Raw genomic sequence first — 20,913 nt, 5'->3', positions numbered from 1 at the left:
GAACTCCTTCCTCCTCCCAAACTGAACCCTGTCCCCACTCAACACTAACTCCTCACTCCCCACCCGCAGCCCCTCGGGGCCCCCATCCAACTCTGGTCTCCAAGCATCTGGCTGCGCTGGGGCCTCTTCGCAACGTGGTCCTGCAGGCTTCGTCCTTCTGTGTCCGGCTTATTTCCCTCAGCATCAAGTCCTCAGGGTTCACCTGTGTGGTACCACGTGTCCAGTGGCTCAGTTTTGCCTGTGGGCACACGGCTGGGAACCCCTGTGGGTGGGCTCCGAGGGTTTGTCCTCAGTAAGTGGGGTGCTGCTTGGGGGGCCTCCCCCATGGACCATCTAGGTTCCTTGCTGCGTCCCAAGGGGCGGGCAGCTTTGGTGAACGCTGCCCCAAGTTGCTGAGAGTAAGAGCAGAGACCTTGGCTTTCCCAGGGCCTCACGGCCAGGAGGACCCAGAACACGAGGGTCTTTCTGTCTCCTGTGTCCGCGGCTCTGATGCCTGGATGGAAAAGGGTGTGAAGCAGGCCCGAGATGGTGAGGACCACGCCCGGCGGTGTGCCAAATCCATGGGTTCCTGTCCCGCCTGCCTCTTCCAGATCTCAGCCAGGCCAGGAGGCAGGGGCTCAATGGGGCAGCCCCCAAAGCCCTCAGTTCATTCCGCACTATGTGCCTGTGCTGTGGGTGGCTGTTGCCTGTGGAGTGGGCCCAGTGGACTGGGACTGAGCCGCTGTCCGCCAGCATAAACCGGAGCCCTCACATCCTGGGCAGCCGGCTTCCAGTTTTAATTTAGTGCAACCAAAGGAAATCCATAACTTGCTCTAACTCTGCTCCTTTGAGAGACTCATTGTGTTGTCCTCCACCCCAGCAGGGGAGATTCACAGGGAGCAGGGGGCATCCTCGGGGAACCCCATGTCCTCAAGCGGAGACAGGAATGAGGAAAGGCTGGTGGGCGTGTCGAGTCCCCAGCATGGGCTCCTTGAAGCACAATCCCCCTCCTCCCAGAGAACTGGAGATGACGGTGTTGGTCTCTTTATGTCCAGCTCCTTAGGAGAAGCATGTGGGGCCACTCAGAGGGAGGCCTGTCCTTAATGGCCAGAGCCCTCCCAGGGACTGTAGGAGGGCCTGGGGGCTGCTGCACACCCAGGAGGTGGTGTGTGGCTTGGACTGGACTCAGAGTGGAGGCCATCCTCAAGGACATGGGGAAACTGAGGCAGGAGCTCACTGTTTCTAGGAGAGCATGGCACGGCAGGGAGCAGAGGATGGCCCAGCGCCCAGGTTGCTGACCCCTCCTTGCTGAGCCGGGATTGTGGTGATGCCAGCCATGTGCTGAGCCCTGCTCTAGGCTCTGGAATGTGGTGGGGACAAGACGTGGTCCTGCCTGTGTCGAGCTCCTACTGGGAAGGATGGATGACAAAACCTGACATGAGAGTGACAAGTGCCATGAAGGTTCTGTCGGGGATAGAGGTGGTGCCATCTCTGAGGAGGCCACAGCTGAGTAGAGGCCTGGAGGAAGGGGATGAGCCCTGGGGTTCTGGGGAGAGCATTCCTGGCAGAGGGAATGGCAAGTGTGCTGGCCCTGGGGCTGGAGCTTGGGGTGCAAGAGAAGTGCAAGGGGAGGACGCCAGGGCTGGACAAGGGTTGCTGTGCGTGGTCTGGACTCAGGGAGCTGTTGAGGGTTGTGTGGAGGAGTGACAGGGTCCTGCATGTGTCTTGCCAGGACCAGGAGAGGAAAGCAGGTGGAGGGCGGTGACCGCCGTGGGCTGATGTGTCTGCACCCCATTTTCCAGATGGGCACGTGGAGGTGCGAATAGTCCAGCTAGTTGGTTGGGGCACGCGGTGGGTGCCAGGATCTGCCCCAGGCCTGCCCGACCATGCGTTGTGCTTGTCCCATCTGCACGTGGATGCTCAGCGGTCAGTGCCTCCAGGTGTACCCTGGTGGGGAGAGTAAGGCCACAGCTCTGCAGTCCCCCATGCAGGCCTAAGGAGTGTCTCAGAGGAAGCATTTGGGGACTGGCCAAGCCTCCACAGGGAGTGACCTCGGCCCGCCCCCTGCCTGGGCTTGGCTGCTCTGGCTCTGGGCCCCTGGTTGAGCTCCTGGTCTCCTCCGAGCTGAGCTGGGCTTGGGAAGCATCTGCTTCATGCCAGAGCTCGCAGGAGCTATCACCTTCGATGTCATTTCCACAGAGTGGCCTCAGGGCAGGCATCAACCCATTTTACAGAGGAGGAAACCGACCGCGGAGCTGAGGATTTGCAAGTGCACCATCTCCAAGGGCAGGGCTGCTTGTGGGAAGTCCTGTGCTTTCCTGTGGAGTCCTGCCTTGCAGCCTTGGAGCAGCTTTACTGGCAGAAAACATGGCGGGGAAGTGCGCAGCCCAGCAGCTCAGCTGTGTCTGTGGGGGAACCGGGGCCTGCACCGGTTCAGAGTGCCCTGTCCTGATCACTTCCCTCGTGCGATAGCTCCATCATCCAGGTGTGCTTACTGGCAGGAACCGAGGGAATAAATAAAGATCACTGGAAGAAACCTTCAGAATGGGAGGATTCCTGTGTCCTGAGACCATGGTGGAGGCCAGTGTTGCTTGGTTTTGTGCAAACGGGAGGCCCTGTCCAGAGCCTCGGAGGATGATGGGGCCTGTCCCCACCTTCCACAGGGTGTCCCTGCTGTCAGCTCAGTGACCCCGTTCTGGGGGACTCTTGCTCAGGCGTCATCCCATCCACACAGAAAGGGCTCTTCCATGGCCACGGTTTTCAGACCCTTTACATTTGTAAATTGTTGGCAGCAGAATCCTATTTCTGAAAGAAACCTCTATGGAAGCAGCTATGGAAATCAGAGGAAAGTGGAGAGGTTCTGGGAGGCGGAGGGAGACCTTCCAGTGCAGCCCTGCCTTGGGATCCGTGTCCAGCAGAGCACAGTCACATCCCCTCCACACCAGGAAGCCCCTCCTCGGGCAGGTGTTGTGAGCCAGGTGTGGGGCCACCCAGTGCGCCCGGGCCGGGCCCTCGGCCTCAGACAAGCAGAGCAGCCTTCAAAACCTGGCTGGAGGGGGGCATTTTGTTGTTTCCCCAAAAACACCCCTTCCCAAAGTACCCTGGGTGGGGGTGGGGCATCATCAGCTGCATGGGGTGACCAGAGGCCTCAAGTGCAGACAGCCAGCTGGAGGCTGATGGCAGCGTAGATGATGCGTAGACTGATGGCAGCGAGCCCACCCTTCCCTCTGTGTCCCAGCCCTAGCACAGGGGCCCGGGTGGAGCTGGCGCCTTCTCACGTCTGTGGACCCAGCTGGCTGCTATCTCCACCTCTGCAGGGGGTGTCACAGGCAGAGAAGGTGGAGGGGATGGTTGGCTCAGTGAGAGGGGGTCTGTGACTCCGAAGCACCTGAGGATGGGGTGAAGGCCCTTGACAGGTAGTGAGCCTCTCGTCACTGCACCATGTGTTAGCAGGACAAGTTTGGAGCACCCTTAGGACCATCTGGAACCACCGTGTCCCCACTAACGAAAGCAGGGCAGAGGACCTGGCCCATGGAAACATCACATGCGCAGAAAAGATGGCCAGTTTCATGTCGAAAACTGGAAGATCTGGGGTTGTCAGAACAGTTTCCAGTCCAGCACAGCCTGGCTGTGTGCTTCACCCCAGTTGGCCTTAAGTATGTGAAGGATGCAGCCTTGGGGGACCTGTGAGGGGGCTGACATTGGCCTTGGAGGGTTGGAGGGCACACGCCCACCTGAGTGCAGGCTCTGATCTGAGAATTCATCCTGCCTGGCTTCTCAGTGGGGAGCTTGCAGCCTTAGTCTCTTGCCCTTGAACTTCTGTGCAGCGGGAACAAAGGGAACAGAGATGAGTAAAGGTTGGTGAGCCTGGCACGGCGCCAGGGCCCGGCATTCATACATCTATCTCGTAAGGCCCCATGGGGCAAGATCCATTCACTTCATTTTCAGGAGACAAACTCTTAAGGAAGCTGCGTTCCTTGCTGAGGGTCCCACACTACAAGGCGACAGGACCAGGAACGGGACCAGAACCCCCAATCTGTCTGCCGCAGCGGGTTGTCTCAGCGGGGCTGGTGGCTACAGGGAACGGGGCGGCATAAGAACAGGATTTAAAGACCAGGTTCACCAGAGTAGCAAGGACATGCATTGGTTCCGTGTTGCCCTCCCTCCCCTCTCTGCAGGCACTGGATGTTAAGCCTGCAGTGGCAATGACTTCAGACATTTCCCAAAGGGAAGAAGAATGTGATAGGGCATTTGCTGCCACCTTTGCTGCCACAAGGATCTTGTTCTTCCTCCGCCCGGGCCACCTGGGGTCCCAGAGCAATGTCCACAGGCAGCGGGAGTGATGTGCTGGCCTCATGGTGCCTGCGTGTCTGCAGACAGCACCCACCTCCAGCAGTCTCAGAGGGGCACCTCTGGGCAATTTCCCCCTCCTGCTGAGGTGCTCCCACTCCCCCAACCAGCTCAGCACCAGGGATTTTGTTGTTGGGGTGCACAGCCCCAACTTGTGAGCAGGGAGGTTTCTGGAGAGATCTGGGCTCTCCCCACCTTTGAGCCCAAGGATGCAGGTGCCTGCAGGTCCCCCGGGGCCAGCAGCAGTGGTTGGGATTGATTGGTAACTGCCACCAGCCAGGGGAAGGGTGTGGCCACACCTCTCAGACCCCAGCGCCGGGGAGGGTGTGGCAGGATGTGGGAGCCAGGCCACAGTGGCTCCCTGGAGAGCTGGGGGAGAAGCCCTGACTGAGGGGCCCACCAGGCCCCCTCTCTGTGAGACGGGGCAGCCCCACCCCACTTTGGATGGGGACTCTCCCTTTTAATCCTTTTCTGGGTCTCAGATCCCACAGAGGAAACCGATGGATCTCTTCCATCAGAGAAAATAAAATGCACAGACACACGAAGCCAGCCCACCTCGCTAGACCCCCAGAGCCCGTCCCCAGACCCGTGGGCCCCATGCCCCGGCTCCACACATCCACCTCTCCTGCACCCATCTCTTCCCAGGGCCTCAGCAATCACCCACACCTCGTGGCTGACTGCCGGCAAACTCAAATCACATTTGACAACCAACACTGTGTGTACAGTCAGGGAGAGAGAGAGATTTATTAGCTTTCATGCGGGGAGAAACACAGGGACCTCAATAGTAGCATACATTTCTCATTTGTTGTAAACTCCAGGAAAGAATTAAGGAACACTAATATTTTCCACATTTAGTCACACCCGAGAGTTGTGAGAGGCAGGGGAGGGAAAGGGAAGAAAATCCGATCTTGTGTGTGGGATTTGGGGACTGGGCATGCACTGGGCAATTTCACTTGATTCTCGCTGCTGCTGCAGGCATAACCTGTGTGGGTTTCTTTTCTCTTTTTCTCGTACCAGCCCACTTAAGTAGGTATTAGTGTCAGCAGCAGCAGTAATAGCGCAAGATGACATGGGGTAGGGGGGTACTTAGAAGAAATTCAGGTGTTTCAGGGAAGGGAGGGGGTCTCCCAGGGGCAGGTTCGACCCCAGGCTTCCTGCTGGAGAGGTGTCATCTGTGGTGTAGCTTAAACCATTGTCTTGGTCCCTTCCTGTGGAGCAGCTGCCCAGGCTCACATGGACATGGTGCTCACACCCATAGGCACACACAGACACAGGGCTCACACCCACAGGCACACACAGACACAGGACTCACACCCACAGGCACAGACACGGGGACTCACACCCACAGGCACAGACACGGGGGCTCACACCCACAGGCACAGACACGGGGGCTCACACCCACAGGCACACACAGACATGGGGGCTCACACCCACAGACCCACATAGACACTGGGGTACACACAGACAAACACAGGCACAATCTGTGCCAAAGTTTTGAAGCACGAAATTAGACAAACCCAGCATTGGAGAGCTAGGGGAAGCTTGTATTTTAAATTCCACTGGGATCCCGGAAGTGGCATGCAGAGCGCGTCAGTTTCGCCTTGTCAGTCATTGCAGCAGCCCCCACTTCAACAGCACTCACCTGCCTGGCCTCTTGTCTGAACAGTTTGCACATTTTATCTTGATTCACCCTCCCCACTTTTTGGGGGTTCTGGGTACTAGAATTATCCCCATGTTACAGGGCACAGAGAGGGGAAGTGCCCCGCCCAAGGCCATACCACATGTGAGCAGGGAGCCGGGCTTTGCTCCCCAGGAGCCTGCCGGGAGCCCTCACTCTTCCCTGGGGAGTTCAGCACCTCTGGACCTGTTTCTCAAGGAGCCAACCAGGAATCTGTGAAACAAGAGCAAGGAGAAAAGACAGCAGGCTACGTGGCAGGGAGAATCCCCACCCGGCTGTGAGGACAGTCAGGCGGAGGGGAGGAAGGGAAGAGAGTGGGGTTATGTCGAGCTGGGTGGGGAGGCTGGGGCACAGTCCGGGACCAACCCCTTGAGGCTTGGATAAACATAATGTGGTCTGTCCACACGGTGGAATAGACAGACTGTGGAACCTGCCACAGGAGGCTCCCAGGTGAGTGGAGGTTGGGAAATGGTAGCGGGTGGCTCAGCCAAGTCCACAGCACAGCCAGAACAGGGGCCTGAAGCCAGGACGGTCTGCAGCCGCCAGTGAGCAGGCAAAGTGGTGAGGCCTGCAGACCCCTCAGGATGGAGGAAGGGACAGTGCTGGATGGAGGGTGGCATGTCTCAAAGTGTGTTCCCAGAACACTTGCATCTGGTCCCTGGGGTGGTTGTTGGCACGCAGGTGCCCAGACTCTGTCCCAGACCTGAAGTCTGGGTCTCTAAGAGACTCTGCCCTGGAATCTGCATTTCTAATGAGCACCTCACGTGACACTTTGTTTTCTGTGATAAAATACACAGCGTAACATTTACCATTGTCACCATTTTTAAGTGCACATTGCGGTGGCATTAGTACCTTCACTTTGCTGTGCAGCCACCACTGCCACCCATCTCCAGGACCTTTTCCTCCTCCCAAATACAAACTCTGCCTCCATTAAACATCAACTCTCCATCCTCCCTCCCCCAGCCCCGGGCACCCACCATTCTACTTTATGTCCTGCTAGGGACCTCACACAAGTAGAATGAGACTGTTTTTCACGTTTCGTGACGGGCTTATTTCGCTTCACATAGTGTCCTCAGGCTTCATCCATATTGTTGTGTGGGTCAGAATTCCCTTCCATTTCATGGTTGGATTCGATTCCAAGGTGTGTATAGACCACATTGTGTTTATCCACTCAGCTGTGGACACTGGGGTACACTACTCTTTATTTATTACCTAATAATATTTAATACATAATTTTATCATTATTCTCCAAGTCTGTGTAGCCCATGAGGCTGTGGCTCTGTCTCCTGCGCCCCTGACTCCAGCTCACTTTCGTGGACTGTCACATCTGACCTGCCCCCTGCCCTCTCTCCCCAGACCTGCAGCCGGGCCAGGCTGGGTCCTCTCTCTGCTTGTCACCACCCCGTGAGAGGCCTCCCCGCCTTTCTTCTCCCTGCCACCTCCCTGCCTTGCTGGGAATGCAGATGACGCCTCCCTGTGAATTACTGCTACAAGCGTTTCCTGCGACAGCCTCCTGCCAGAGAGGGAGGTCATCAGGGAGGTGGACAGAGACCTAGCCTGGGTTGGGGGCAGTGGACCCCCTTCCTCCAGAGAAGAGGGCAGCAGAAGCCACTCGGCGTTGGTGCCCCCCAGATCCTGCTAGCTGGGCACCTTGGCCCATGTTCTTGTTTCCTCCTGTCTATGATAGGACAGTGGTGGGGCTGAGTGGCTAGTGCAGGGTCTCAGAACAACCCATCTAGGATAGCAAACACTTCGCAACTCCCTTTGTCGTCCTGAAGTGAGACTCAGCTGAGAAAGCACACCCAGCACGTATTTTATAAAAAAACCAGTACAGTGCCCTAACTATTATAAAGTAGAAGGCAAAGGAAAGTGAATTATGATCCAAGTAATCCAGGTTTCAACACGTCAGTGCACTAGGTTGGGGCCCGGCATGTTTCTCCTCCGAGGCAGGGGAGGCAGTGACATCCGCCTCTCGGCGTGGGAGCACCAGAATGTGACTGCTGCAAGTGCATTGGAAGAGCAGATGTCAGCAGCTCAGAAGTCATGCACGGCATCGCCAAAGGGGGTGTGAGTTTCTGAAACCATGAACAGCTTTGGTCAAGTTCAAAATAAAAATAGTCCAACTTCCTGAGGTTTAGAGACCCGTTGTGCTCTTGGGAAAGTCAGTGCTTAGGTGGAAATCAGAGTTAGGGTCTTGGCATAGTAATTTATAGTTTAGAAGAAACATTCACATTCATTATTGCATTTGGTAGAGACAGCAAAGTAGGGCTCATCATCCCCATTTTATAGAGAATAATAGTGTCTATTGTTTGTGTCCCCCAGGTTCACATGTTAAAACCCTAATCCCCATCATGTTGATATTTGAAGGTGGGGCCGTTGGGAGGTGGTGAGGTCATGCAGGTGGAGCCCTCATGATGGAATTTGTGTCCTTATAAAAAGAGATGAGAAAGCTAGCTTCCTCTCTCTCTCCCCACCATGTGAGGCTGCAGCAAGAAGACCAGATCCCCGCTATGTGGCACCCTGATCTGGACTTCCCAACCTGTGAGAAATAAATTTCAGTTTTTAAGCCACCTAGTCTATAGCATCTTGTTATAGTAGCTCAAACTAAGAGAGACAGATGCACACATGTGTGCACACGTGGGCACACACACAGACACACACACGCACGGGACTTCAAAAAGTTCATGGAAAATGAGTATTATTTTTAAAAACTCTGCATGGATTTCCAAATTTTTTGCATCAAAATAAACTTGTACTAACTTGTAACATGTCCAAACAGGATCTACTTTGAGGTCCTAAGAAGAATAAGACATCAGTTTGAAAAGAGCTCCTATCAGAGTAATAATAATTCTGCTAAAATTGAAACAAAAGCAAACATCAAATTTATGGTAAAATCATCAATACTTTATGAAAAGTTTAAGGGGACAGTGCCCCAAAGAAATCAGCAGTTTACAAATGGATACCTCCTTTTAAGAAGGAACAAGATGATGTTGAGGATGAAGCCCTCTGTGGCACACAATCCACATCAGTCTGCAAGGAAAATATTCATTTTGTCCATGCCCCAGTTGAAGAGGACCAATGGGTAACAGCAGAACAATAGCCAACACCATGGTCTTCTTTCTTAGTTCAGCTTATTCTATTCTGAATGAAAAATTATAGTTAAGGAAATCTTTCTTATAGTTAAGGGTGCCAAAACTGTTGCTTCCAGATCAACTGCAGACAAGGGCAGAGCTTTCCATGGAAATTTTTAGCAAGTGGGATCAAGATCCTGAGCATGACTTTGAAGAACTATAACAGGTGATGAAACACAGCTTCAGTACAACCCTGAAGACAAAACACAATCAAAGCAATGGCTACCAAGAGGTAGAAGGGGTCCAGTTAAAGCAAAAACTGACCAGTCAAGAGCAAAGCTCATGGCAACAGTTTTGGGGATGCTCAAAGCATTTTGTTTGTTGACTTTCTAGAGGGCCAAAAAACAATCACATCTGCTTATGATGAGTGTTTTGAGAAAGTTAGCCAAAGCTTTAGCAGAAAAACACCTGGGGAAGCTTCACCAGAGTCCACCACGACAATGCCACTGCTCATTCCTGTCATCGAACAAGGTCAATTTTGTGAGCGTTTGAGGGGAAATCATAGGCATCCACCTTACAGTCCTGATTTGGCTCCTTCTGACTTATTTATGTTTCTTAATCTTAAAAACAACTCTAAAGGGCACCCATCTTTCTTCGGGTAATAATGTAAACAAGACTGCATGGATATAGTTGAATTCCTGGGACCCTCTGTTCTTTATTCTTTAAAGATGGACTAAATGGCTGGAATCATCACTTACAAAAGTGTTTTGACCTTGATAGAGCTCATGTTGAGAAATAAAGTTTATACTTTCTATTTTTATCTTTTAATTCCATTTTTCCATGAACATCTTGAAGTCCCCTCATATTTCCTGTATACCATATGCCAGGCACTCTTCTGTATATTTTATGCATATTAACTCAAACTTCAAAGCAGCCCCATGAAATAAGTGCTATTTTTATTCTTACTTGACATATGAAGAAACCGAAGCAAGCACAGACAGGTTGGGTCACTTGCCCAAGTTCACACAGCTAGGAAGTGGTGTGTCTAGGCAGAGCCCTCTAGAGGTGCTGGCTGAGCTGTGCAGAAGAGGAGCTTAGCTCCTGGATGGACCTGGGGATAAGCATCCCAGCAGGGGGAACAGTGTGTGCAGAGGCTCCAGTGTAGGAACAAGTTTGGCGAGTTTAGGGGGAAGAACGAAGAATGAATAGATGGGTGTGAGTCCACCTGCCAGCTCAGATCTCTTTTCCCTGACGAAGTCCCTGCTGACCCCTCAAGGTCCCCCCTCCTCCCACCACATTTCCCCTGCATTTGTCTGTAATGCACTCGTGTGACAGTCAGTCCCGGGCAGCCTGTGACAGCTCAGCCATTACTGCCTCGATTGGGCATTCATCTCTTGCACAGCTGTTTAAATTGTCACACAGAAGGCCATAAACACTTCGACAGCTAAGATGAGGGCTTCCCCTGTGATGGCAGTGCCTGGACCCCTGTACACTCAGCAAGCATTTGAAGGCTGAGTACATTTATGCAGTAGCTGTTATAGGCCAGGCCCTGTCATCATAGTATGTGTACATCAAAACAGCACATGGTTGTGAGAGAACCTCACCATACTAAGAACTTGACAAACCAAACAATATCACAGCTTTAAAATTTGCAGGTAACTTACCAAATGCTGTTTAGGGGAAAGGTGAGATTTGAACCCAGGCAGTCAGGATTTGATGTTACTCTGTTCTGTGCTGTGCCAACTGTGTGAGGGTGTATATGAGAGTGTGTGTGTGTATGCCAGTGGTGCCAGCCCATGTCACAGGCTTATTTGTTTATTCCATAATCTATACTGTGTGCCAGGCACCAGGCCAGGCTCTAGTGGTGAAAAGAGAGACGGACAGATGGAGTTGTGGAGTTCTCAGACCAATGAGAGATTGTCCTAGGTGCCAGGAGGAGAAAAGAGAGGAGACAGACTAAACTGAGGTGAAGCAGTGTGGAAGGCCTTGCTGAGGAAGTAGCATTTACACCAAGTCCTGAAGGGATCCTGTCGGTACCGAGAGCCTGGGAACAGTGTTTCCAGCAGCAGGAACAGCATGTGCAAAGGCCCTGAGGTCAGCACAAGTTTTCTTGTTTAGAGAGCTAAGAGGTCAGCAAGGTTGGAGCACAGAGGGCAAGGGTGAGAGGAAGGAGCTGAGATGGGGGAAGTGAGCAGGGCCAGATCCTGCCACTCCTTGCAGGCCCTGCAAAGGTTTTGGTAAGGCTTTAAAGATTTCAAAAAATTTTAAGGTATTAGGACCTTTGCAAGCTAAAATAAGATTTTGGTTTCTTTTCAAAGTTGCAAGAAATAGTTTAATCTAAGATTAATAAAACAGTTACTATAATGTCTCCCATTCACCACGCATTTGGTGCCTGCTGTCTTTAATTCCGACCACGCCTGCCTGTAGGTTGTGGCTGTCTCCAGCTAACCTGGGAAAGAGTGGCTCTGGGAGGGAAGTGACTTGCCGAGGTCATGCAGTTCCAGCCCACGAAGCCCCACGTGTGCGCTTCCTTCCCCTGCTCCTTTGTTTCCGGTCTGGTAAATGGGGATCTTTAGTGATCTTGAGGCTTCTGGCACGTTCTTAGTACAGTGTGTTCCTATGCGCCTTGTAAAGCAAAAGCAACTCTGAACTTCTTAGCTCGCGTCATCAGCTGTTCCCAGGTGATGGCACCTGGGCACTCCCAGCAGGGCTGGAGGTGGAAAAGATGGACTTTTCAGTGCATTTACCAGCAGGAGCCGGGCTGCCTGGAGGTCAGGAGAGTAAATCACACCTCCCAGGCCTGAGAGCAGGAGGCGCATAGACAGCAGGGACAGCCGAGGGCCTCAGAGGAACCATCGCTGGCCCTTCACCCTGTTTAGAAACTGAGGCCAGGCTGCTGGGGATGGTGGGGGGTCCTCGGCAAGCTGGGGTGGAGGCAGCATCCAGGCTGAGGATCCAGCCTCAGGCCTCGGCATCCGTGTGGGCTTAGCCTGCCTCCTGCAGCTCCAAGCCAAGGCAGTGGTCTCTGTTCCTCACGTGTGGACGTCTTCCTGTGAGATGCCTCCCGGAAAGTCCCCACTTTGCTGCCTGTCTCCACAACCCCCTGTCAGCCACTAGTGAATGACGGTGGACCCCTTCGGAATCTGCCCCTCCAGCCCTCTATCGCCCCACCTGGCCCCGGCACTGCCAGCTCTCTCCTGGTTGTAGCCTTAAGAACGGTCCCCCTGCTCTGCCCATCAGCCCTGGTCCCTCCTCTGCTCAGCACCCTCCCACAGCACCCACCTCACCCAGGTGACAACCAGAGTCCTCACAGTGGGCACAGCCCCTGCACGATGTGTCACTATCACCCCTCTGACCTCATATGTTACTGCACTTCCTCTTGCCCCTCCAGTGTCCCCACTAGAACATGAGCTACGAGAGGGCAGGATTTTTTTTTTCTTTTTTCGTTTTCTTTTCTTTCTTTCTTTTTTTTTTTTTTTTTTTTTGAGACAGAGTCCCGCTTTGTCGCCCAGGCTGGAATGCAATGGCGCAATCTCGGCTCACGGCATCCTCTGCCTCCCGGGTTCGAGTAATTCTCCTGCCTCAGCCTCCCGAGTAGCTGGGATTATAGGCGCCCGCCACCATGCCCAGCTAATTTTTGTATTTTTAGTAGAGACGGGGTTTCACCAGGTTGGCCAGGTTGGTCTTGAACTCCTGAACTCAGGTGATCCACCTGCCTCGGCCTTCCAAAGTGCTGGGATTACAGGCGTGAGCCACCACGCCTGGCCGGAATTTTTTTTTTTAGTGACAGTATCTCTGTCCCCCAGGCTGGACTACAGTGGCATGATCATCGCTCACTGCAGCCTTGAACTCCTGGGCTCAAACGATCCCAAACGAGGAGTTCTGCCTCAAGGACTCCCTCTGCAGCAGGGAGGACTCTGCTGGGTGTGCGGAGAAGCTTTTCCAGTCCTTGGGGGTGGAGGCTGTGCCTGGAGGTGAGGAAGCAGAGACCTGGGGGTCTCCCTGAGATCTGGAGGGTCTCCATCCTCGTGGGAGGGTTTGGGCCTTTGGGATCCCTTCTAAACCTGAGTTTGTATATTTCCATGATTTCCTCCCAGAGCTCAGGCCTCTAACTGGGAAAAAGCCAATTATGCAGGAAGCGTTGACTTTTCCATGAAGATCTGACATGCTGGGGCATTATTGAAGGAGTGTGGAGAATCAGGCACAGCAGCTGCCACGTGCCCACTTACTGGGTTGATGAGGCAAATTTTTAACCATTTTTTTTTTTTTTTGGTAGAGATGGGGTCTCACTATGCTGCCTAGGCTGGTCTTGAACTCCTGACCTCAAGCAATCCTCCTGCCTTGGCCTCCCAAAATCACTGGGATTACACCTTGCCCAGCCTGGGGGGTCAAGAATTTTTATTTTGTTCCCGGATGTGTCCTCAGTGCTTAGAACAATTCCTGGCATACAGTATGTGCTCAGTAATTATTTGTTGAGTGAATGAACAATGATCTGAGGTGGATATTATTATTATCATTTAAAAATGAGTAAACTGAGGTACAGAGAGATTAGGTAACTAACACAGGGCCAGGCAAGTACTAAATGGCAAACTTGGGATTCAAATCCAGGCAGACACTGGTTTCAGAATCTGTGTTCTTAGTCCCTAAGCTATATTGTCACTTTAATTAAAATTTGATGAATTGGCTGGGCGCGGTTGCTCACGCCTGTAATCCCAGCACTTTGGGAGGCCGAGGCGGGTGGATCACCTGAGGTCGGGAGTTCGAGACCAGCTTGGCCAACATGGTGAAACCCTGTCTCTACTAAAAACAAAAATTAGCCAGGCGTGGTGGTGGGTGCCTGTAATCCGAGCTACTCGGGAGGCTAAGGCAGGAGAATTGACTTGAACCCAGGAGGCGGAGGTTGCAGTGAGCAGAGATGGCACAATTGCACTCCAGCCTGGGAGACAGAGTGGGACTCCTTCTCAAAAAAAGAAAAAAAAAAATTGATGAATTAACAAATCAAATAGCCTTTCTAGCTGCTTCTTGCACCCTATGCAAGGTGCAAGATCATCAAACCTTTTCTTCCTTACCCAACCTAAATTGCCCCTCTACCAGGTAGGGTTAACTTATCTCCTTCCTTGCTTCCATTGTCCTGTGGATATACCTTTCTCAGAGTCCTTAGAAGTGATCTATTTATGTGTGTTTCTGAATCTTCACTTATCCTTGAGTTTCTTCATGGCAGGGATCTATTCTTTATTTTCTTCATCTCTCCCAGCCTGTGTCTAGCACATGTTAGGGGCCTGATACATATTTGTTGAATGGGTGACTAGAAGGCTTTCTGGTACTTACCACCTGCCAAGTGAATGTATGCTTGTTGAGTCCTATTTATGATGAACTTTCATTTTAACACAGCCCATATGTTCCAGAGAGAGAAAAACAGGCCCAAATCATAACAGAATCGCATACAATCACATCTTGAGGTGACTTCATGTCATGCATTCAGTGGCTTCTGGTAAAACACTGTTCCATCTTTGGTGCATTAAACACACATTTAGTGTTATCCGAAGTACCATTGCCTTTCATCCCAGGATCAAAAGGCACCATGGGGCTATAAAACTAACTGACCACAGGGGAAGTCCACTTGGTTAGGGGACAAAAGGGACGTTCATGCCCCATTGGGTTATACAACTCCTGGTGGTTGTAAAATGCATTGGTGTCCATGTGAAGGTGTTGACCAAAGGTCATGGGGCGGACTATGGTAGCAAAACCCTTGCCCTGCATGAGAATTTGATCTCGGGTTAACTTTCTAGCTCTGTTTCCCTGGGAACCAGGTAAAGGCAGAATGTCTCACTACTGCTGGGCAGTATTGCTAATGGCACAATGGTATCTGGGCAGGGGAGCTATGAGTACCTGCTGGGCCACCAGGCTTGGGCTTCACAGAGCATAGTGACTCTGTGCTGGACACGTCCCCGTGGGGCATCCGGTATGCTTTGCTGATGGAATTGTTAGTAGAGGTGCTGGCTTCTGGGGGGCATGAGGCTTTTAAGCCAGGGCAGCTCCCATACCTGCCTGATGTGCCTCTGGTCTCCTTGCACCTGTGTGGTCACGGGAGTTGGCGGGGGGATTGACAATGGAGATGGCTCCCATGTGGCCATGTGGGCAACTACAGAAGAGGAACAGTCGAAGCTACCCTCCTGGCAGGCTATGCTCCCGTCCTGGGTCCATCTTGGTGGGCGGTGGCCTAGGTCAGGCCTGTGGCACTGAACGTCAAGTCGAACCCCAAGACATGCCCTGGTGAGCACTGCGGAGATCAGATGCTCTCAGGGGGCTGCTTCAGCACTCAGAAAGCTAAAGGAAAAGTGGATTGGCTGAGAGGATGTCACAAGGCTGAAGCCCCTCAACAGTCTGCCCAGCGCCCCTTCTCCCATTGCACCCTGGACAGCAGGCGGTCCCTGCCTGGGCTGGGCCCAGGGCCCAGAACTAGGAGACCAGTGATGCCCACATTGATCCCCAAGGCAGAAGTCATTCTCCTCCCAGGCCCTTCCACCCTTCCTCTCGGGGCCTGATAATTGGGTGTGGGGGCTTCTTTCTTCCTGCTGACCTCCTGGGTTCGGGCAGGACCTCTGTCTTCTCCCTCCTTCTGATTGGTCTGGACCACAGAGGGGACTCATTCCTGGTAGTGAGGTCGATGTCGGCTCTAACGGCCCCTGTGGTAGGCTCTCGCTCTGCACCGGCCCTGGATTGTGTAGTCTTCCTGCCTTTGCCACTGAAGCCTCCCAGCAGCCTCCCGAGGTTGGCCTCCTCATTGCTTCCATTTCTCAGATAAGGAACTGGAGATTGAGCAACTTGCTCAAGGTCACCCAGCAGCTCTGGGGCTGAGGGAGGACTCGGCCCCAACCCCCTGGCTCAGAGCCTGGCTCCGAGGCACTGCTTTGTGCTGACCAACATTCCCTTCCAAAGCTCATTAATGTCCGGTGACTCCAAACCAACAGCGCCTTAGGAGGGAGCTCTGGGCAGTGAATTTCTAGGGCACAAGATGTCCCCTTTCTTCCCTCCTCTCTCTGAGTCTGTCCATTTAGAAAATGCTGAGATGGGCCAGGTGTAAAGTCTGGAATGCAGCTCAAAAATGAATCAGCTTTTCCTCTTCCTGCTAATGCCTTTGCTTTGACTTCCTCTGCAGACGCCGCGGTCCCTGCATGTCCCCAGTGTGTCTCTTGTGGGCAGGAACTTGCGTTCTCAGATCTGGCTGATGGGTGCATGGGGAAGGTGGGCGCGCGAGGACCTGGGAGGCCAGTTTTTCCTGCCCTTCTGCTGGGAGGGTGGGACCTACCCACCTGTCCCCCATTCCCAGCTTCCCTCTGATGAGAAGGGCTGCCATCCCCAAGGAGTTCTGCCTCAAGGACTCCCTCTGCAGCAGGGAGGACTCTGCTGGGTGGGCGGAGAAGCTTTTCCACTCCCCAGGGGTGGAGGCTGTGCCAGGAGGTGGCGCGCTCCTATCTCTGGAGGTGGGGAAGCAGAGACCCGGGGACCTCCCTGCAATCTGGAAGATCTCCATCCTTGTGGGAGGGTTTGGGCCTTTTGGATCCAGTCTAAACCTGAGTTTGTATGTTTCCATTATTTCCTCCCAGAGCTCATGCCTCTAACTGGGAAGAAGCCAATTATGCAGGAAGCGTTGACTTTTCCATGAAGACCTGACATTCTGGGGTATTACTGAGGGAGTGTGGAGAGTCAGGCACAGCAGCTGCCATGTGCCCACTGGCCGGGCAAGCCGGGGGTCTGGATGGGTCACACCTCCCCCAACCCTGCCCAAACCTCGATGGCAGAGCCTTCTAGAACCACAGTTCTCAACCTGTCTGACAAAAGACCCCTTTTTGTTATTTCCCATCCATCACGATCGACACCTTGGTAAGTGGATGCCAGGGTGCTGAGGGGCTGGAGCTGAGTCTGGGCACTGCCTCTTGCTTTCTGAGTTTACCCTGCTGTGGGCCTGTGCCATGGGGGACCAGCCAGTCCCCAGGCTGCCCCTCAGAGAGCAGTTCCTCAGCAGCCCTAAAGGAAGCAGAGGGTCTGGGGCCCCACACACGTCGCCCTTTGTGGGTCCTGAGCTCATTGGCACATCGAGCACTCTGAGGAGTCCGGTGGGGAAGAAACGTGATCAGTTTCCCAAGCCTGTTTGACCTGGGAGTGCTTTCAATGGCCTCTACCACCGAGCTTGGCCCCCAGCGTCTGCTGCGAGAGGCCATTCTCTGGTTGGTGAGGATGTGGAGAAATAAGAACCTCTGTGGCTCCATTGCTGGGGGGAGGTAACGTGGTGCAGCCGCCGTGGGAAACGGTGTGGTGGTTCCCGAAGGAGTTAAACATACAATACAATTCCCATATGATCCGGCAATCCCACTTCTCAGTGTAGACCCAAAAGAATTGAAAGCAAGGCCTCAAACAGATGTGTGCACACCCATGTTCACAACAGCATTACTCACAATAGCCAAAGGTGGAAGCAAAGAAAGTGTCCGTGACAGATGAACGTGGTCTGTCCCTACAATGGAATATGATTCACCCTAAAAAGGAAGGGCGTTCTGTGCTGCGCTGCAACAGGGATGAACCTGGACGACAGGATGCTAGTGAATGAGCCGGCCACAAAAGGACAAATACTGCATGATTCCACTTCTGTGAGGTCCCTGGAGTAGTCACATTCACGGAGACAGAAAGTGGAATGGAGGTGCCAGGGGCTGGGGGAGGGGGGCTGGGGGTTCGTGTTTCATGGGGCAGAGTTTCAGTTGGGGAAGATGAGAAAGTCTTAATGCCACTGAAGTGTGCGCTTAAAATGGATGAGGTGGTAAATGTGTGTTATGTATCCTTTACCATAATGAAAAGGAAAGGGGACACTCCTCTGGGGGTTGCAGGGCTGTAGGCTGGGGTGTTTCTCCTCCCTCCTGCCCCTCTGCTCCGCGGCTACCATCTCCAGGCGGGCCTGGTCATGGTTGAGGAAACTGGCTCATTTTCGGAGCACACTAAATTTCCAGATCAGGCCCTGGAGTCCTTTATGAATCTAGTTTGGGAGGCTGGCTTTCCAGATCGCTGACTGCAGGGGAGTTCCCGGTTTTGTGGCAGATGCCAATGCCGGAGGCAGCTCCCTGCCGAGGAGGCCCGGCCTCTGTGATACAGTCATGGAGCCACACGCTGCCCCATTGGAGGGATGGAAGCCCCACTTGGGCAGGAGACGGAGAGCCGCCGTGGGCTCCAGGCGTCTGTTCCTGGGGCCCTGGGAGACCTGCAGTGTCTGAGCTTGTTAGGCCCCTGGGTTTGCCTTGGGAGGGCCTCCTTGGCCAGGCGGCCTGGGGTGGGCGGGCAGGGGCTTGGCCGCAGGCAGTTGGGGTGGGAGTCCACAGGTGGGGGCCCTCTACTTGGCCTTGCCTGGAAGGCCCTTCCTGTGCCCCCTGAGGATGCTTGAGGTTGAAGGAGGCCTCTGTGTGACAGAGGCTCTGTCCTAACTCCACCTCTCCCTGGCTCCTACCGCAGGGACATGTCCTGTTGGAGGAACAGTGTCACCCTTCTGGCTGAGACAGAGGGGCCTGCAGAGGGGCGTGGGTCAGGCAGCTGCCCCCAGAGCAGGCGGGCTGAAGCCTGTGTCCACCCTCAGGAAAATCCCTCTGGGCACCACCCAGGCACCCCACCGTGACCAGGGCGGGGCCTGGAATAGTGGCCTCAGGGGCAGAAACCACTTCCCTCCCCTCACCAAGGCCTCCTGGCTCCAGGCCTTGCTATGGTGTCACACTATAGGGTCCTTCCAGCGACAGCCCTGCTTATGAGCCCTGGCCTCCCCTGCTCACTGGCCTCCCTGCCTCCTTAAGCCTCAGTCGCTGCCTTTCTCTACAATGTTGTTCCCCTATGTCGTTTCCCCAACCATGGATGAGGCCAGCAGCTCTTGAAGCCGGTTTGAGAAATAAGTGGCATTAATGCCTGTGAAGTGGCCCGGTGGCTGGTAGCTGTCAATAGAAACAGGAGTTTGGCAGCAAAACCCATCCACGCAGATCTAGATGCCAGTGGATATGTGAGGAGTGTTTGGCCGGCCTGTTAATGAGGCCAGTTTAGCCAAATATCCCGGGACGTGAGTGTCCAGGCGGCATCGCCCTTCACACTTGGGGTGCTGGCTGTCCTCTGCAAGGGTCGACGTGCACCTCGGAATGTCTCAGGCCGTGCTCTGTAGGGACTGACTCCTGAGACCATGCATAAACCAGAGGAGCAAGTCAGCGATGGCCGTGAGGCTGACCTTGTCCCGACCAGGAAATAGGCTAGATCATTAATTAGTCATTTAATTCAATGAAAATTTAGCAGGGAGTCCTCTTCCCTGGGACTCAGAAGCCTTGCCTTTGAGGGACTCTCAGTCTAGACCCATGTCTCAGTCTAGATGATGGCCACAGAGCGGGAGAAGCCCCTTGTGGGGGCCAGTGGGGTGTGAGGGGCAACTGGCAGATAATGGGGTGGAAAAGGAGTAGGGGGCAAGGACCCCCCTTCTTTGCCCCCATTCTTCTCCTGGGCCCCAAGTCTCAAATTGGCAATGTTGGTCACAGGCCCTATGTGACCATTTCCAAGTTTGAAATTTGAGGCGATCAAGGTCTGGGGCTGGAACTGAGTGGCGCAGTCCCCTTGGAGGGGCCAGGCTGGCTCTCCAGTTTGCTCCAGGCCCACCTGGCCCGGCCACTGCCGGCCCCAGGAGGCAGTTGAGTTTGCAATGCTAACCCGTGCCAATTTAAAATCTTCAAAAGCACTGAAGTGCCTAAAGCTGGGGTTTAGAAATAGTGTCCCAGCAGGAGCCTGTGACGGGGGTGGTGGCAGCCTGAGCACAGGTGGCTGCACAGACCCCGGTTCCCAGGACTGGGGCTGCAGGTGACTTTTGCCACGTTTCAGGTTTCCGGTGAGGAGTTGCCACGCCTGGAGTGACTGGGAGAGAGAAGACAAATAAATGCATTCAAGTCCCAAAGTCAAACTCTCTGGATATTGTGGGCAGCAGTGGCATTAAGGAAATAAGCCACCAGCCTCTCAGGGCCTTGCTGGGAAGTGATGGTCCATGGATGAAGATGTGCCACCCCCCAGCTGGTTAGAGGCACCACCCCACCTCTGGTGGCCACGTGGCAGGCCCGGACTGTCCTCATGCTGTCCTGCTGAGGTGGCCGGGCCTTGGGCCAGCACTGGCGCCACTGCCCCAGCAAGCAGAAAGCCACTAAGCACTTGGCAGGAGCTGCTTGCTGTTGAACTATTTAACATCCTAATGCATCCACTTTCACACCTCCGCTGATCCCCGAAGACCGCCGGGTGGGTGTTGGTGAAGTGGCGATGAGTATTAATGAGGCAGCGCTCTGCGAGGTGCGTCTGCTTCATGTGCCTTCCCGCCGGGGGTGGGGGCACATCCTTGATGGTGGCCATCCCAATTTGGGGCCACCAGGGCCCCAGAAATATTTTTCCAATGTGGGGAGCTCCCTGGGGGGCTGTGGGGTGGTTACACTGCCAGGAGAAACTCCAGGGAGGGGATTTCCAGCACCTGGACAGTGTGGGCAGCCGCGGCCAGTGAAGGGCCAGTTCTGGAGTCCGCTGACCTTCGGCTTCCTCTTACCAGTGAACTTGGGAGCAGGTGTCAGGAGCACCATGCAGCCTGTCTCTGGGGAAGCATGGCTCAGCCAGGGCCTGCTGGTGAGGTGGATGGACTGAGCTTTTGGAGGGTTTTTGCAGGAGCTTGGGGGTGACATGGTGTGACGTTATTTTAAAGGCCTTTCCTGCTGTGGCACAAATTGTAGAAGGGCCCGAGGCAGCTGCCAGATCCGCTGGGAGACTGACATGGTGGCCCAGGGGAAAGCTGCTGCT

General features: G+C 53.9%; 1 protein-coding gene across 6 annotated transcripts in view, besides 6 other annotated features; it reads left to right on the top strand.

The window, feature by feature from the left end:
• Positions 1–20,913, top strand: part of IQSEC1 (IQ motif and Sec7 domain ArfGEF 1) — a 386,215-nt gene that overhangs the window by 43,319 nt on the left and 321,983 nt on the right. The window lies entirely within an intron of this gene.
• Positions 1,210–1,813: an enhancer, noted in NCBI's record as "H3K27ac-H3K4me1 hESC enhancer chr3:13279626-13280229 (GRCh37/hg19 assembly coordinates)". NCBI's record gives its function as "activates a minimal SCP1, AML or CMV promoter by ChIP-STARR-seq in primed H9 embryonic stem cells {active_cell/tissue: H9 hESC(primed)}" and the evidence as "EXISTENCE:reporter gene assay evidence [ECO:0000049][PMID:30033119]".
• Positions 1,814–2,418: an enhancer, noted in NCBI's record as "H3K27ac-H3K4me1 hESC enhancer chr3:13279021-13279625 (GRCh37/hg19 assembly coordinates)". NCBI's record gives its function as "activates a minimal SCP1, AML or CMV promoter by ChIP-STARR-seq in primed H9 embryonic stem cells {active_cell/tissue: H9 hESC(primed)}" and the evidence as "EXISTENCE:reporter gene assay evidence [ECO:0000049][PMID:30033119]".
• Positions 7,603–8,104: an enhancer, noted in NCBI's record as "H3K4me1 hESC enhancer chr3:13273335-13273836 (GRCh37/hg19 assembly coordinates)". NCBI's record gives its function as "activates a minimal SCP1, AML or CMV promoter by ChIP-STARR-seq in naive H9 embryonic stem cells {active_cell/tissue: H9 hESC(naive)}" and the evidence as "EXISTENCE:reporter gene assay evidence [ECO:0000049][PMID:30033119]".
• Positions 18,638–19,160: an enhancer, noted in NCBI's record as "H3K4me1 hESC enhancer chr3:13262279-13262801 (GRCh37/hg19 assembly coordinates)". NCBI's record gives its function as "activates a minimal SCP1, AML or CMV promoter by ChIP-STARR-seq in naive H9 embryonic stem cells {active_cell/tissue: H9 hESC(naive)}" and the evidence as "EXISTENCE:reporter gene assay evidence [ECO:0000049][PMID:30033119]".
• Positions 19,161–19,683: an enhancer, noted in NCBI's record as "H3K4me1 hESC enhancer chr3:13261756-13262278 (GRCh37/hg19 assembly coordinates)". NCBI's record gives its function as "activates a minimal SCP1, AML or CMV promoter by ChIP-STARR-seq in naive H9 embryonic stem cells {active_cell/tissue: H9 hESC(naive)}" and the evidence as "EXISTENCE:reporter gene assay evidence [ECO:0000049][PMID:30033119]".
• Positions 19,684–20,207: an enhancer, noted in NCBI's record as "H3K4me1 hESC enhancer chr3:13261232-13261755 (GRCh37/hg19 assembly coordinates)". NCBI's record gives its function as "activates a minimal SCP1, AML or CMV promoter by ChIP-STARR-seq in primed H9 embryonic stem cells {active_cell/tissue: H9 hESC(primed)}" and the evidence as "EXISTENCE:reporter gene assay evidence [ECO:0000049][PMID:30033119]".

This window comes from Homo sapiens, chromosome 3 (assembly GCF_000001405.40).
Source record: "Homo sapiens chromosome 3, GRCh38.p14 Primary Assembly".
Classification (NCBI taxonomy): Eukaryota; Metazoa; Chordata; class Mammalia; order Primates; family Hominidae; genus Homo; species Homo sapiens.
The sequence above is the reverse complement of the archived record's forward strand: the minus strand, read 5'-3'. Positions and strand labels throughout refer to the sequence as shown.